The sequence below is a fragment of the Homo sapiens genome, chromosome 1 (genome assembly GCF_000001405.40).
Source record: "Homo sapiens chromosome 1, GRCh38.p14 Primary Assembly".
Classification (NCBI taxonomy): domain Eukaryota; kingdom Metazoa; phylum Chordata; class Mammalia; order Primates; family Hominidae; genus Homo; species Homo sapiens.
The window spans coordinates 118048177-118064360 of record NC_000001.11 but is presented as its reverse complement, the minus strand read 5'-3'; the positions used below and the strand labels follow the sequence as shown (position 1 = coordinate 118064360).

At 33.8% G+C, this 16184-nt stretch overlaps 1 protein-coding gene across 14 annotated transcripts in view; it reads left to right on the top strand.

Annotated features, from left to right (window-relative positions):
- Positions 1–16184, top strand: part of SPAG17 (sperm associated antigen 17) — a 231639-nt gene that overhangs the window by 120868 nt on the left and 94587 nt on the right. For all 14 annotated transcript variants that reach the window (XR_946574.2, XM_006710427.4, XM_006710426.4 and 11 more), the window contains 2 exons: positions 8447–8628; positions 10268–10359. Coding sequence is in view for 13 of the 14 variants with exons in the window: in XM_006710427.4 (XP_006710490.1) it covers positions 8447–8628; positions 10268–10359 (274 nt within the window). In the remaining variant the exon portion in view is untranslated. The remainder of the gene's footprint in view (positions 1–8446; positions 8629–10267; positions 10360–16184) is intronic.

Below are 16184 nucleotides of genomic sequence, written 5' to 3'. Positions count from 1 at the left end.
CCAGTCTATCGTTGTTGGACATTTGGGTTGGTTCCAAGTCTTTGCTATTGTGAATAGTGCCGCAATAAACATACGTGTGCATGTGTCTTTATGGCAGCATGATTTATAATCCTTTGTGTATATACTCAATAATGGGATGGCTGGGTCAAATGGTATTTCTAGTTCTAGATCCCTGAGGAATCGCCACACTGACTTCCACAATGGTTGAACTAGTTTACAGTTCCAGCAACAGTGTAAAAGTGTTCCTATTTCTCCACATCCTCTCCAGCACCTGTTGTTTCCTGACTTTTTAATGATGGCCATTCTAACTGGTGTGAGATGGTATCTCATTGTGGTTTTGATTTGCATTTCTCTGATGACCAGTGATGATGAGTATTTTTTCATGTGTTTTTTGGCTGCATAAATGTCTTCTTTTGAGAAGTGTCTGTTCATATCCTTCGCCCACTTTTTGATGGGGTTGTTTGTTTTTTTCTTGTAAATTCGTTTTAATTCATTGTAGATTCTGGATATTAGCCCTTTGTCAGATGAGTAGATTGCAAAAATTTTCTCCCATTTTGTAGGTTGCCTGTTCACTCTGATGGTAGTTTCTTTTGCTGTGCAGAAGCTCTTTAGTTTAATGAGATCCCATTTGTCAATTTCGGCTTTTGTTGCCATTGCTTTTGGTGTTTTAGACGTGAAGTCCTTGCCCATGCCTATGTCCTGAATGGTATTGCCTAGGTTTTCTTCTAGGGTTTTTATGGTTTTAGGTCTAACATTTAAGTCTTTAATCCATCTTGACTTAATTTTTGTATCAGGTGTAAGGAAGGGATCCAGTTTCAGCTTTCTACATATGGCTAGCCAGTTTTCCCAGCACCATTTATTAAATAGGGAATCTTTTCCCCATTTTTTGTTTTTGTCAGGTTTGTCAAAGATCAGATGGTTGTAGATAGGCGGCATTATTTCTGAGGGCTCTGTTCTGTTCCATTGATCTATATCTCTGTTTTGGTACCAGTACCATGCTGTTTTGGTTACTGTAGCCTTGTAGTATAGTTTGAAGTCAGGTAGCGTGATGTCTCCAGCTATGTTCTTTTGGCTGAAGATTGACTTGGTGATGCGGGCTCTTTTTTGGTTCCATATGAACTTTAAAGTAGTTTTTTCCAATTCTGTGAAGAAAGTCATTGGTAGCTTGATGGGGATGGCATTGAATCTATAAATTACCTTGGGCAGTATGGCCATTTTCACGATACTGATTCTTCGTATCCATGAGCATGGAATGTTCTTCCATTTGTTTGTATCCTCTTTTATTTCATTGAGCACTGGTTTGTAGTTCTCCTTGAAGAGGTCCTTCACATTTCTAATTTCCATTATCCTTTCTTACTTGACCCATTAATTACACAGAAATGTGAGTTTTCATTTTAAACACTTGGCTATGTGTTACATTTTTGTTAACAGTTTATAGTTTAAAGATATAGTGGAGATGTAACATATTCTATGGACTACTGAGGCTATGAATTCATTAATACTTGCTCTGTTGTTTAATATGTAGTCAGTTTTTTAAATGCTCAAGGTTTGTATGACAGGAAGGAATGTTCTCTAATTTCTGACCGTAGTGATGTATTTTTTAAATCTTCCACAATCTTTTGGATTTTTGAGGACTTGGTCAAAAATTCCATTAATTAATGGGAAAAAACATTTTTAAAAAAACCACAATATTATGGTGAATTTTTCAGTTTTTCATTATAATTATATCAGCTTTTGGCTTCATGCATATGGAGGTTATATTATTAAACAAATACAGTATTAGAATTGTTATATCTTCCTGATGAACCTTTTATCCTTAGGCATGTTCCTCTTTATTTCTAGGACTACTATTTGTTTTCAGGTTTATTTTGTCTGATAACAATGTTGATATGTTTGACATTAATGTATCTATATAGATTTTATGAGATATATTTTATCTGACATTGATAAGTTATACAAACCTTTTTCTTTAATTTTTTTTTTTTTTTTTTTTTGAGATGGAGTCTCGCTCTGTCGCCCAGGCTGGAGTGCAGTGGCGGGATCTCGGCTCACTGCAAGCTCCGCCTCCCGGGTTCGTGCCATTCTCCTGCCTCAGCCTCCCAAGTAGCTGGGACTACAGGCGCCCGCCACTACGCCCGGCTAATTTTTTGATTTTTAGTAGAGACGGGATTTCACCGTTTTTAGCCGGGATGGTCTCGATCTCCTGACCTCGTGATCCGCCCGCCTCGGCCTCCCAAAGTGCTGGGATTACAGGCATGAGCCACCGCACCCGGCCTTTTCTTTAATATTATATCTAGCATATCCTTTTCCACCCATATATGCCTTGTAAAATAATATGTGTACCTGGGATTTTTTAAAAAATTTAGTCTGACAGTATTTTCCTCTTGGTTGAGAATTTAGTACATATTTTTAGATTGATTTCAACCACCTAATTTTGTCCTTTTATTTTCTCTTTTTCAGTTTCTTTACTTTGTTCGAGTTCCATTTTGTTTATTCTCACTAGTGACAGTTATATGCTATGTTGTTTGATTCATTCTTTAGAAATCGTGATAAGTATTTTTTAGCTTTATTGAGGTATAATTGATATACATAAAATTGTATACATTTAATTTACACATCTTGAGAGGTTGAACATATGCATGAACATATACCATCACCACAACCAAGGTACTAAACATACCCATTATGTTAAAAAAATGTCCTCATGTCCATTTGCATTGTGGTTTTTTAAAAACATTGAACACGTGATCCCTTCTTTTAACATATCTTCAAGTGCACAATACCATATTATTAATGATAGTTGAAAAACAATTCCATACACCCATACCAGCCACTGTAAACCACCATTCTCTTCTCTGCTTCTATGAATTTGACTGTTTTAGATAACCTGTATAAGTGGAATCAGCCGGTATTTGTCATTCAGTGACTGGCTTATTTAACTCAGCATAATATCCTCTAGGTTTATACATGTCACAAATGGCAGGATTTCCTTCCTTTTTAAGGCTGAATGCTATTCTATCATATATACCACATATTTAAAATCTATCATCAGATACTTAGGTTGTTTTTTTATCTTGGCTACTGTGGAAAACATTGCAATGAAGATGGGGGTCCAGATAATTCTTGAAGATGCTGATTTCAATTTTTTTTGCATATATACTCAAAAGAGGGATTGCTGGATCATATGGTTGTTCTATTTCTAATTTTTGAGAAACTTCTATGGTATTTTCCATAGTGGCTGCACCTTTCTACATTCCTACCAACCATATATAAGGGTTCCAGTTTCTCCACATCCTTTCCAATGCTTGGTATCTTTTGTTTTATTTTGTTTTGTTTATAATAACCATCCCAGTATAAGTGAAATGATATCTAATTGTCATTTTGATCTGCAAGTCCTCGATGATTAGTGTTGAACACCTTTTTATATACCAAATCTAGCCAGTAAAGACTGGAGGAGGGAACTGCTTCTTAAATTGCAAAGACAGCAACAGAAAACTTCAAGGAACATGACGAATTCAGGAAATATAAATGTGACCAAAGGAACACATTTATAACACAATTGAGAATACTGTACCCAGCAAATGTAGCCTTCAGAAATGAAGGAGAGATAGTCTTTCCCAAACAAAAGCTGAGGGAGTTCATCACCACCAGACCTGCCCTTCAATAAATACTCAAAGGGAGTTGTCAAGTTGAAATGAAAAACACTAAATAGCAATGTGAAAACTTATAAAAGCATAAAACTTACAGGCAAAGGCAAGTATACAGTCAAATTCAGGATACTCTAATACTGTAATGGTGTTTCATAAATCACATTTAACACTAGCATAAAAGTTAAAAGACAAATGTATTAAAATAACTAGTTGTGATGATTCATTAATGGATATGCATTACAAAAATATGTAAATAGTGATGTCAATAACGTAAAATGTTGGGAAGGAAGAGCTGCAGCTACATGGGAGTCTTAGGCTGGAGTATCATTTGAGCCTAGGATTTGGAGTCCAGCCTGGGTAAGATATCAAGACCACATCTCTAAAAAATGGAAAAAGAAAAAAAAAACTTCTACAAATATGTGTTTTGTGTAAAATCAAAGGCAAGTTTTATCAGCTTAAAATGGACTGTTATGCATGTAAGATGTTTTATGTAACCACAAAGCAAAAATCTATAATAAACACATGAAAGATAAAGAGAAAGGAATGAAACAATAACACTGCAAAAAAATCAGCCAGTCAAAAAGGAAGACAGCAAAAGAGTAGGAAAGAAACAAAAGAACCATAAAACAAAATTGAAAATTATTCAACATAATCAAGTGGAATTTATAACTGGAATGCAAGAATGGTTCAATATATACAAATCAATAAATGTAATATGCTATATTACAGAATGAGGGTAAAAGAGGAAACAATGAAATAAATGGCAATAGTTTATTAATAATTACTTTAAATGGATTAAATTCTCTAATTCAGAGTGGACTAACGGATAATAAAACCATATCCAACTATACTCTGCCTGCAAGAGACTCACTTTAGATTTAAGGGCACAAATAAGGTGAAAGTGAGGAGAGAGAAAAAGATATTCCATGCAAATAATAACTAAAAGAGATCAAGGTTGTCTACACTTATATCATATGAAATAGGCTTTAAGTCAAAAATTGTTACAAAAGGTAAAGAAAGACATATAATGACTACATCATTATATAATGACAAGGTCAGTTCTCCAAGGAGATAGACCAATTGTAAATATGTATGTACACAACATTGAACAGCAAAGTAATATAAAGCAAATATTAACAGAACTAAAGGAGGAGTAAACAGTAATACAATAGCACTAGGATTGGATTCCTAATTTTAAGTGTTCTTACCCCACAAAAAATGATAAGTATGCAAGATAGTATGTATGTTAATCAATTCAATTTAGCCATTCCACAGTGTGTACATATTTCAAAACCACATGTTGTACATGATAAATATTTACAATTTTTATTTATTTAAAAATAAATTAAAATTCAAAAAATGGATTACTGTCTTAAAGTATACACAAAAATCAACTCAAAATTGGTTAGAGATTTAAATATAATTCCTTCACATTACTTCACAGGGAAACTCATTTTGAGCTTATGGCTTCCTAGGGGCTAGATGATATGACCAAGGAGAGAAATGGTAATATGAAGAGATCAAGGATCAATTGTCTGTAACTTTTTCAATTCTTCTAAAAGTAATCCTCTATTTAGATTTGTTAATTCTTCAATCAATTTGAGTAATTTCTGCTTTTCTAGGGAATCATGCATGACATCTAGATTTTCCAGTCTATTGGCATAAAATTAAACAGAGTATTCTCAAGATTAATGTCTGTTTATGAGAAGGATGTGTTCATATCTTTTTATGATTATGGATTTATCTACTCCCCTTTCTATTATTTTGACATGTGTAGCATGTGTGTGCAAATTTATTTTTGAATCCTTCTTAATTGAGGATTTTTATCAATCTGATAAAATGTCCCTCTGTTCCCTTTAATACTTTCTACCTTGTATTTAATAATGTTTGATATTAATATTTTTAGATGGTCTTTCTTTATATAAGAATTTATTGGTATAACTTTCCCAATCATTTTATATGTCAGGTAGGTATTGTATTTCACTAGGTTAGTGTAGAGTTGATTACTGGGGTTAAACTAAGAAGAGGATTACTTTTCTCCTGTAGCAAGAAATCTGGACTTGGGCAGTGCCTCAGAGCTAATACAACCACTTGTAAAAGTCATCAAAGACCTAGGCTTCTGGCTTCTTAGTCTGCCATCTGCCACACTTCTATCTTTCTGCATAATTTCGTTTGTATGTACATCTCTTTTAAATAGCACTTTGAGGCCAGCCCAGTGGCTCATGCCTATATTCCCAGCATTTTGGGAAGCCAAGGCAGGAGGCTCGCTTGAGAACAGGAGTTTCAAACCAGCCTGGGCAACATGGCAAAACCTGTCTCTACAAAAAATACAAAAATTAGCTGGGTCTGGTGGTGTGCACCTGTGATCCCAGCTACTTGGGAGTCTGAGCTGGGAGAATTGCTCAAGCCCAGGAGTTTGAGGCACCTGTGAGACATGATTGTACCCCTGCACTCCAGCCTGGGTTACAGAGCAAGACCTTGTCAAAAATAAATAAATAAATAGCAGCTTGCATTTTTTTAGTTACTCTGATAGCCTATGTCTTTTAAAGGATTTTCATAATAATTAAAAATAAAGTTAAGTATTTTAAATGCTAAAGAATTTAATCCATTCACTTACTTTTATTGAAAATGCATGTGGTTTTATTCTTACCATTTAATTTTATAAATAAATTTCTATGTAGTATTAATCTATTTTCTTTCATTAGACTGAATATTCTAAGTTTATTCTGAGTGTGTGATTTTTAAAAAGTTATACATTCTATTCATATTCTGCTAGAGGTTATACTTACCCTTTTAAATAACATTGAAATATTTTTATCTTATATCTGGAGTTAATGAGTATTAATATTATTTTACAAAAAAAAAATTTTAATTTAACATAATTCCATTTACCCCCAACAAATCCCTACTTCTCATTTTGAAGTTGTCTAGAACTATTGTTTCTCATTGTAAAGTAATAGTTTTTAATCACAAATAAGTAGCATAGTTACATTTAATTGTAAATCATACTGCTTTTTTTCTTGACCTTTTAACTTATATCCAATGTTGTCTTATTTCTCTGATTTATTTTTTTAATGCAACTGGAATACATTTGTGAGTAAATAGTTCAGAAAGTACCTATGTGTGATAAGCTTTCTGAATCATTGCATATTTAATATTTATTTTGTTCTCTCATTTGAAGACTGATTGAGCTGTATATGTAAGTCTATATTTCCTTGGTGTAGGTTACTTGTAAGTATTCTGATTTTTATTTGACATGCAGACTCATTAAAAAGGTCTGAGCAGAGGAAAGACATGATCTGATTAAGAGTTACAAGGATCACCCTCATTGCTATGTTGAGAATATACTTTGGGGGCCCAGGGTAGGAGCAGGGAAACCAGTTGGAGGCTATTGCAGAAATCCTAGCAAGAGATGGTAATGGCTTAGACCAGGCCAATAACAGTAAAGGTGGTGAGAAGTCAGCAGATTTTGAATATATTATAAATACATGTCTTTTAAAATTATTTTTAAATAATTTACAAAATAATTTAGATTTCCTGACAGATTGGAAGAATATAAGAAAATAAGAAGCCGGGCATGGTGGCAGGCACCTGTAATCCCAGCTACTCGGGAGGCTGAATCAGGAGAATTGCTTGAACCCGGGAGGCGGAGGTTGCAGTGAACCAAGTGGTAGCGCCACTGCACTCTGGCCTGGGTGACAGAGCGAGACTCAGTCTCAAAAAAAAAAAAGAAAGAAAATAGAAAATAAGAGTAATCAAGGAGAACATCAGGGTATTTGACCTGTTTAACTGGAACTGTAGACTTGCCATCAACTAAAAATGCCAGAGAATTTGGATGCTGCAGGTTGGAGTAGATCCAGAGTTCATTTGGGGACATGTTGAGTTTGAGATATCCATTACCTTCTAAATGAAGATGTTGGGTACCCCCATAATTCATAGTTTACATTTATGGTTTATTTCTCCAAAAAGGATGAAGAATTAAAGAAAACTATTAAACAACCTGAGTATATAAGCCATCTAGCTTTATTTTTTCAAAACCTTAAGCTGCACTTTCACATAATTTGACAATAACCAATTTTTATTGTCAAATTTAAATCTTATAACTAATGTCCTCAGAAACAACTCTCTTTGGACGTTCATATAAGTGTATATAATATTTAATTTAAATAATTACACTAGTCAGTATAAGTGATGTGAATGAATTTGGGAACAAATATGACTGCTGGTAAGCAACAAATTGCCAATGAAAGCATAAATGCACAAGCAGTTAGAGAATAGTATTTAAGATGTTCATATTCATAAGGTCAGTGAGTTTCATAGCAAAGCTATAGTGGTTTAGTTAATCCAGTGAGTATTAATTGGTCTCAATTTTAAAAGTTCCTAATGTGCTATAAAATTGCCCAAAAAAGAGATTGCATTGTATTATTCTCCAACTAACAGTGGTGAAAGTGATCATCTCTTCAAACTGTCATTAACTCTTGGTATTATTAAACTTATTAATCCTTCACTTCAGTGGAAAGATCTTATTTCTTTTTTTATTTCTTAAACCCAAAGCCTAGTGAGTCAGATGAAAGATCTCATTTTTAAATTTACATGTCTTTAACTGTTGATGAAGGGCAGTTTTCATATGTTCACTGGATATTTGTATTTGACTATTTTGTACAAAATACATCTAGGATGTATTCAAACTCATTATATTTTTGACATGAGCAAAAAGTTTATTTGCACAGTCAATATCCTTAGTATTTATTGACTTTCATAGTAACTCAATTGACGTCTGCTATTGGTTTGTTTAGGAATTATTTGGAACTTGTTGCAAAATCTATTCAAGATTGGATTACAAAAGAAGAAGCTATATATCAGGAATCTAAAATGAATGAGAAAATCATCAGGACCAGAGCTGAGCTGGAATTGAAATCTTCTGCTAATGCCAAACTTACTTCTGCTAGCAAAATTTTTTCCATTAAAGAATCTAAAAGTAAGTAACCAGTTCAACTTATACGTAGAATAAAATTCAAGAACGTTCTTCTCTCTCTTAATTTAATCAAGACTGTGAATATTTTCAATATTAAAAAGAATTACCCAAAAAAGTTCCTGTGACTCTTCACTTTCTCTAGTAAATAGAGTAGCTGCATTCCAAATATGGGATTGTACCTGAGTGCAATAATAGAGTATTTTTTATATTGACCCCCCACTTCTTGTCAAATCTGGAAGATTCCATCTGTTGTGCAGATCAAATGTTACATGTTAGAGAAATGCCAAATGCCTTTATTGGTAGGATTGGTAAATTAAGCTATCTAAGATTTGTTGACAATATAAGAGGTAAATTCAGAGTTAGTAGATATCTATTTGAATAATTATAGATTCCAAAATTGAGACTAAAACAAGATATTTCTTAGAACAGCAAACAGAAGGGTCCCAAGACTAACTGGGTGTAGGAATCTAAAGATAATGGGGAAAGAGATTTTTGGAGGCCTCTGGCAGGGACTTGACAGGATATTGGATCAATATATATACCTTTGTTGTTGATGATGTTGTGGTGGTGGTGATGTTGTGTTATTGTGGCCTTGAGGCTGTGGGCAGAAGGGGAAGATGGTGACAAAGAGAGTAAAATAGACTTTTAGAAAGATACTTGATAAAGAAAAGAAGTGAAACGTTGAGATAATTCATCTAGAAAATAATCATGTTTCATTAAGTTTGTGCAAAGGAAATGGACTCCTTGTTAATAATATTCATTTATTATAGCCAAAGTGAGAGGGATTTCTCATAAAGAAGCAACGCTACATAATTTCCAAAATTTTGGCAACCTCTATCAATTACCAAAGGAGTTTGTACATGGCATGATTTTAAAGTAAACCATATAAAAGCAAGTTAATGATGAAACTTTTACCATATTGACCAAAATGGTTGTATAATCTATCAATTCTGGGTCCTGATGGGGACCCAGAAGGAGAGCATTAAGTACCCCCCAAAAAAAGAAAAGAAAAATAAATAGATAGGACTATATTTTTTAAAAAAATGGGTAGGGCTGCCCTCTAACACTCATGTCTAGGGCCACACCTCCCTATTAGTAAGAAAAAAATGTGAGTTTACTGCCTTTTCTTTATAATTCTACTGAAAAGACCAAAAACCTGTGAAAATCTAGATAATGGTTAATTTGGGATTGGATGCACCTGATAGATATTGCATTCAATTTCAGGTCTCTCAAGTACGGAAAAGTATAAGTCTTCAAAACAGAATGACTACAATGGCAAAAGAAGGGCTTCAATATGGATGGAAATGTTAGATTTGTTCTGTGTAGTCTTAAAGTGGTAAACTAGGATTATTAGGTGAAAGCTTTAGAGAGAGAGAGAGAGACTACAGTTCAATAAAAGCTGCAACATATCAACACACTGAGAATGGAATGCACTGTCCCCAGAAACTTGAGTTCCCCATCACTGATGTGGCTCAGTCCCATTTCAGATGTTCATTCTAGAGATGGCAAGAAAAAAACCAGAGATAAATAAATGAGAAGTTGAACTTGAAAGCCTTTGAGATCTCATCTAACCCAGAGATTTGGGCCTTCTATGATATCTTATTTAAGAGTTACTAAGAAGTTTAATTTTATCTGATTATAGGTAACAAAGGAATCAGCAAAACAGAGATATCAGATCAAGAAAAAGAAAAAGAGAAGGAAAAGATTCCTTTCATTTTAGAAGGCTCTCTCAAGGTAATCCAGCTTACATAAAGTTTAAAAAACAGGCAAAACTAAAGTATTACACAACAGGATAGTGGTTGACTTTGGGGCAGTGGGAGTGGATAGTGATTGGGAAGAAGCATGAAGATGGCTTCCTGGAAGCTGGAGACCATCTCTTTTTGACCTGCTGATATTTACAGGAGTGTTTGATTTGTGCTATTTGTGCGTTTTTGTGTATATGTTATAGCTTATTTTTAAAAGGTTTTTAAAAACGCTGTCATTTTTTTCCCATTATGGTTTCAGGGCTTTTATGTTATTGATTCTACCGGGTTGATTCCACTTTGAGATATACATATATATTTTTATGCATTCTCTTAGAATATTTTTATAGATTTATTTTTTATATTCAGATATCTATCTGAAATGTATTTTTATATAGTATAATGTAAATGTATTACTTTTTCTTTGTCCAGATAGGCTATTTTACTAGTACTTTTAAATTAAATATAACATTAATTCTCCCCACTGAATTTGGGTGTTGATTAGATCACATATTAGGCACCCATTTATTCCTTGAATTCAATTTTGAATGTTGTGTTCTGTTTCAGTCACCTACTTAATTATTCCTATGCATGTACCATGATATTTTAATTATGATAGCTTTGTTGTAAGCTTTAATATTAGGTAAGCAAGAGCCAACTTCCCAACCCCCATGAGCATGCAATAAACATTTAAACAAAGTTGATTAATTTTGGTAAGCCTCCGGTTTCTGGATATTAATAGTAAAGAAAATTACATGCCATACCATCAACTTTATTGTTAATTGCTGCCAAACTTTATTAATTTTTAAACTATTTGTTTTGAGACTAACATTTGTTAGTTTTCCTCTTCTGTTGATATATTGAATTATAGAGATTGATTTAACAACACAAGTTGCATTTGCATTTCTATAAAAAACTCATCCATTGTTTCCTTAAGTTCAGTTCTCATCCTACATAACTACATATATCATAATCTCCTAAGGGTGTCTGGTGGGAGGAGGGTCTTAGTAAAATTCACATTCCTTTACTCCATCCTAACTGCATCTTTGAGAGTAGAACCTAGTAATTTTAATTTTAATAATCTCCTGGGAACATCTTTATGTACATAATAGATAAAAATTACAGTACTATATGTTCATGGCATATTATTATTTCCATAAAAAACTGGGTTTGATTTGATAGCATTTTATTTGGAATTTTTATATCCATGGTGAATGAAATTGGTCTACAGACTTTTGTATTGTCATTAACAAGCATTGTTATTAAGGTTATGTTGGCTTTTAAAAACATATTTTTATTACTTATTTTTTAACTGAGAAAAAATGGTATCTATTTCTGGTGTACAACATAATGTTTTGAATTATGTACATATTATAAAATGGCTAAATCAAACTGATTAACATATGCATTACCTCACGTAGTTATTATTTTTATGTGGTAAGAATACTTAAAATCTAATTTCTTAGCAATTTTCAAGTATACATTTCACTGTTATTAACTATAGTCATCATGTTGTACAATAGATCTCTTGAATTTTTTCCTCCTGTCTAATTGAAATTTCACATCCCTTGACCAACATCTTCCCGATCCCCTTTCCTGCAGCCCCTGGTAACCACCATTCTACTCTCTGTTTTTGTGAGTTCAACTCTTTTAGATTCCACATATAAGTGCAATCATGTGCTATTTGTGTTTCTGTCCCTGGCTTATTTCACTTAATGTCATGTCCCCCAGGCTTATCCATGTTGCTGCAAATAACAGATTTTTCTTCTTTCTAAAGGCTGAATAGTATTCCATTGTGTGTGTATGTTTATTATATATATAATAGTTTATATATTATAATAGTATATATTATATAGTTTATATATAATAGTATTATGTTATATTGTATTATACTATATATAATATATAAACCATATTATATATTGTAATTATACTATATATTATAACTATATATACTATTATATAATACTATTATATATTATGTATTTTGTGTATATATACATACATAATACATAATGTAGTATGTACATAATGTAATATATGTATACATAGTATTATATATATTATAATAGTTTATGTATTATAATAGTTTATATATTATATTATAATAGTTTATATATTATAATAGTACATATTATATATTATATATAGTTTATATATTATAATAGTTCATATATTATAATAGTATATATTATATAGTTTATATATTATAATAGTATTATGTTATATTATATTATACTATATATAATATATAAACCATATCATATATTGTAATTATACTATATATTATAACTATACATACTATTATATAATACTATTATATATTATGTATTTTGTGTATATACACATACATAATACATAATGCAGTATGTACATAATGTAATATATGTATACATAGTATTACAGAATATATACATAAAATAGTATTCCACTGTGTGTGTGTGTGTGTATCTCAAATTTTCTTTATTCATTTATCTGTTGATGGATGTAAGCGTCCTAGATATGGTTGATTCCATATCTAGGCTATTGTAAATAATGCTGCAATAAACATGGGCATGCAGATACCTTCTCAGGATACTGATTTCAAATCCTTTAGATATATACCCAGTAGTGGGATTGCTGGATCATATGGTATTTCTAATTCTAATTTTTGAGAAGCCGCCATACTGCTTTCAATAGTGGCTGTAGTAATTTATATTCCCATCATCAGTGTACCATGGTTCTCTTTTCTCCACATCCTCCCCAACATTTATTATCTTGTCTTTTTTCTCATAGCCATTCTATCAGGTGTGAAATGGTATCTCATGATGAGTTTAATTTGCATTTCCCTGCTGATTAGTTATGCCAGGCATTTTTTTTCATGAACCTGTGGGACATTTGTAAGCCTTCTTTTGAGAAATGTCTGCTCGGGTCCTTTGCTCATTTTTTAATTGGGTTATTTGTTTCCTTGCTACTGAGTTGAGTTCCTTAGGTATATTTTTAGATATTAACTCCTTATCAGTTGCAGGTTTTCAAATATTATGTCCTATTCCATAGGTTATTTCTTCGCTTTGTTGATTGTTTTCTTTGTTGTGCAGAAGGTTTTAGTCTAACGTGATGCCATTTGTCTATTTTTGTTTTTGTTGCCTGTGCTTTTGAGGTTATATTCAAAACATCACTGCCCAGAACAATGTGACAGAGATTTCTCTTGTGTTTTCTTCTAGTAAGTAGTTTCATAATTTCAGGACGTACATTTAAGTCTTTAATCCATTTTGTGTTGTTTTTGTGCATGCACATTAGAGTCTAATTTCATTCTTTTGCATGTGGATATCCAGTTTTCCCAGCACCATTTATTGAAAAACTTGGTCTTCCTCAATTTTGTGTTCTTGGCATCTATGCTGAATATGAATTGACTGTACATGTGTGGATTTATTTATGGGCCCTCTATTGTATTCCATTGATCTCTGTGTTTATGCCAGTACCATGGTGTCTTGATTAGCATAGCTTTATAGCTAACCATTTTGAAATCAGGTAGTGTGATACTGTTACCAGTGGTGAATCCATATGGGTCTGCAGCAACCTCAATTCTTGCCTCCTCAGAAGAAAGAATTCAACTGAGGGGCATAAGGCAGAAGGAGAGTCTGAGGTAAGTTTTAGAGCAGAAGTGGAAGTTTATTAAAAAGCTTTAGAGCAAGAATGAAAGGAAATAAAGTACAATTGGAAGAAGGCCAAGCAGGTGACTTGAGAGATCAAGTGCACAGTTTGACCTTTTGACTTGGTGTTTTAAATGTTGGCATACTTCCAGGGTCTTGCATCACTTCTCCCATGATTCTTCCCTTGGGGTGGGGCTGTCCACATGTGCGGTGGCCTGCTAGCACTTGGGAGGGGAGCATGCACAGTATGGTTTCTAGAGTTGTACACATGCTTACTTGAGGCGTTCTTCCCTTACCAGTCTAGCATTCCTAGAGAAAGGTCATATACCAGTTAAACTCCACTATTTTGCCTCTTAATGCACATATTTGAGCCCACTCACCCAACTCCTGAGGTCTCGCTGGGAAGCTGCTGATCACCAGTTTCAGGTGTTTTCCATCTATTGGGAGATGCCTCCTTCCCTGGCACCAGCTGTGACCACCTATTATTTTAGAGAGACAGTTAACAACTGCCTGGCCATCACCTGATGGTCATCTGGCATTCCTGCTGTGTGTGATGGGGGGCAGCCCACATCTGCCCTGCTCATGCCTGACTAGCTACCTACTGTAACAATATCTCTAGTTTTTTTTATTTTTCCTCAAGATTGTGTTGGCAATTAGGAGTCTTTGGTGATTCCCTACAAATTTTAGGATACTTTTCTATTTATGTGAAAAGATGACATTGGAATTTTGATAGGGATTGTATTGAATCTGTAGATCACTTTGGGTAGCACGGACATTTTTATTGTGTTGAGATACATTTCCTCTTTATCTACTTTGTTGAGAGTTTTTATTATGAAAGGATATTTGAGTTTGTCGTATGTTTTTTCCACATCTATTGTGATGACCATGTGATTTTTATCTTTCATTCTGTAATATGGCATGTCACATTTATTGACTTGAATAGGTTGAATCATCTTTGCATCCCAGGAATAAATCACACTTAATCATGAGGAATGAGCCTTTCAAATGTGCTGTTGAATTCAGTTTACTAGAATTTTTTGGAGGAGTTTTGCATCTAACATCACCAGGGACAACGGCCTGTCATTTTATTTTCTTGTAATGTCCTTGTCTAGCTTTGGTATCAGGGTAATGTTGGCCTCATAAAATGGGTTTGGAAGTATTCTCTTCCCTTCAATTTTTTTCATAGGGTGAGAAGAATTTGTATTAGTTCTTTAAATGTTTGAGAGAATTCATTAGTAAAGCCGTCAGGTCCTAGGCTTTTCATGATGGGAGACATTTTATAACTGATTCAGTCTCTCAGTTGTTATTTGTATGTTCAGTTTTGTATTTCTTCATGACTCAGTCTTGGTAAGTTGTATGCTTCTAGGAATTTATCCATTCCTTCTAGGTTATCAATTTGTTGATGTGTAATTATTCATAGTACTCTCTGTGATCCTTTGTATTTTATTTTTTATTTTTATTTTTTTTAGATGGAGTCTCGCTCTGTCGCCCAGGCTGGAGTGCAGTGGTGCAATCCCGGCTCACTGCAACCTCTGCCTCCTGGGTTTAAGCAATTCTTGTGCCTCAGCCTCCCGAGTAGCTGGAACTACAGGCATACACCACCATGCCTGGCAAATTTTTGTATTTTTAATAGAGAGAGGGTTTCACCATATTGGCTAGGCTGGTCTCGAACTCCTGACCTTGTGATCTGCCCACCTTGGCCTCCCAAAGTGCTGGGATTATAGGCGTGAGCCACTGCGCCCGGCTGATCCTTTGTATTTCTTTGGTACCATTTGTAATGTCTCCTCCTTTATTTCCAATTTTATTTGTTTGAGTCATCTCTCTTTTTTTTAGTTTAGCTAAAAGTTTGTTCATCATGTTTATCTTTTTGAGAAACAAACTTAGTTTCATTAATTTTTTAACAAAAAGTTGAATTATTTTATTTATCTTTTCTGGATCTGAAGGCTTCAGCCTGAAGCCTGGGTCTGCTGAGGTGGGCCTGGAGCTTAGGTCTGCTCTGACAAGCCTGGATCCTGAATCCGCAGCAGCCAGCCTGTCACCAGAGTCCACTGGGGTAAATCTGTTGACTGGGTTCATGGAGGTGGGCCTGGAGTCTGGGTCCTTGAGTGCTGACCTGACACTGAAGCAGACCTTGAGCCTGAGTCTGCAGGAACTGGTCAGAGACTTAGATGGGCCTACAAATAGG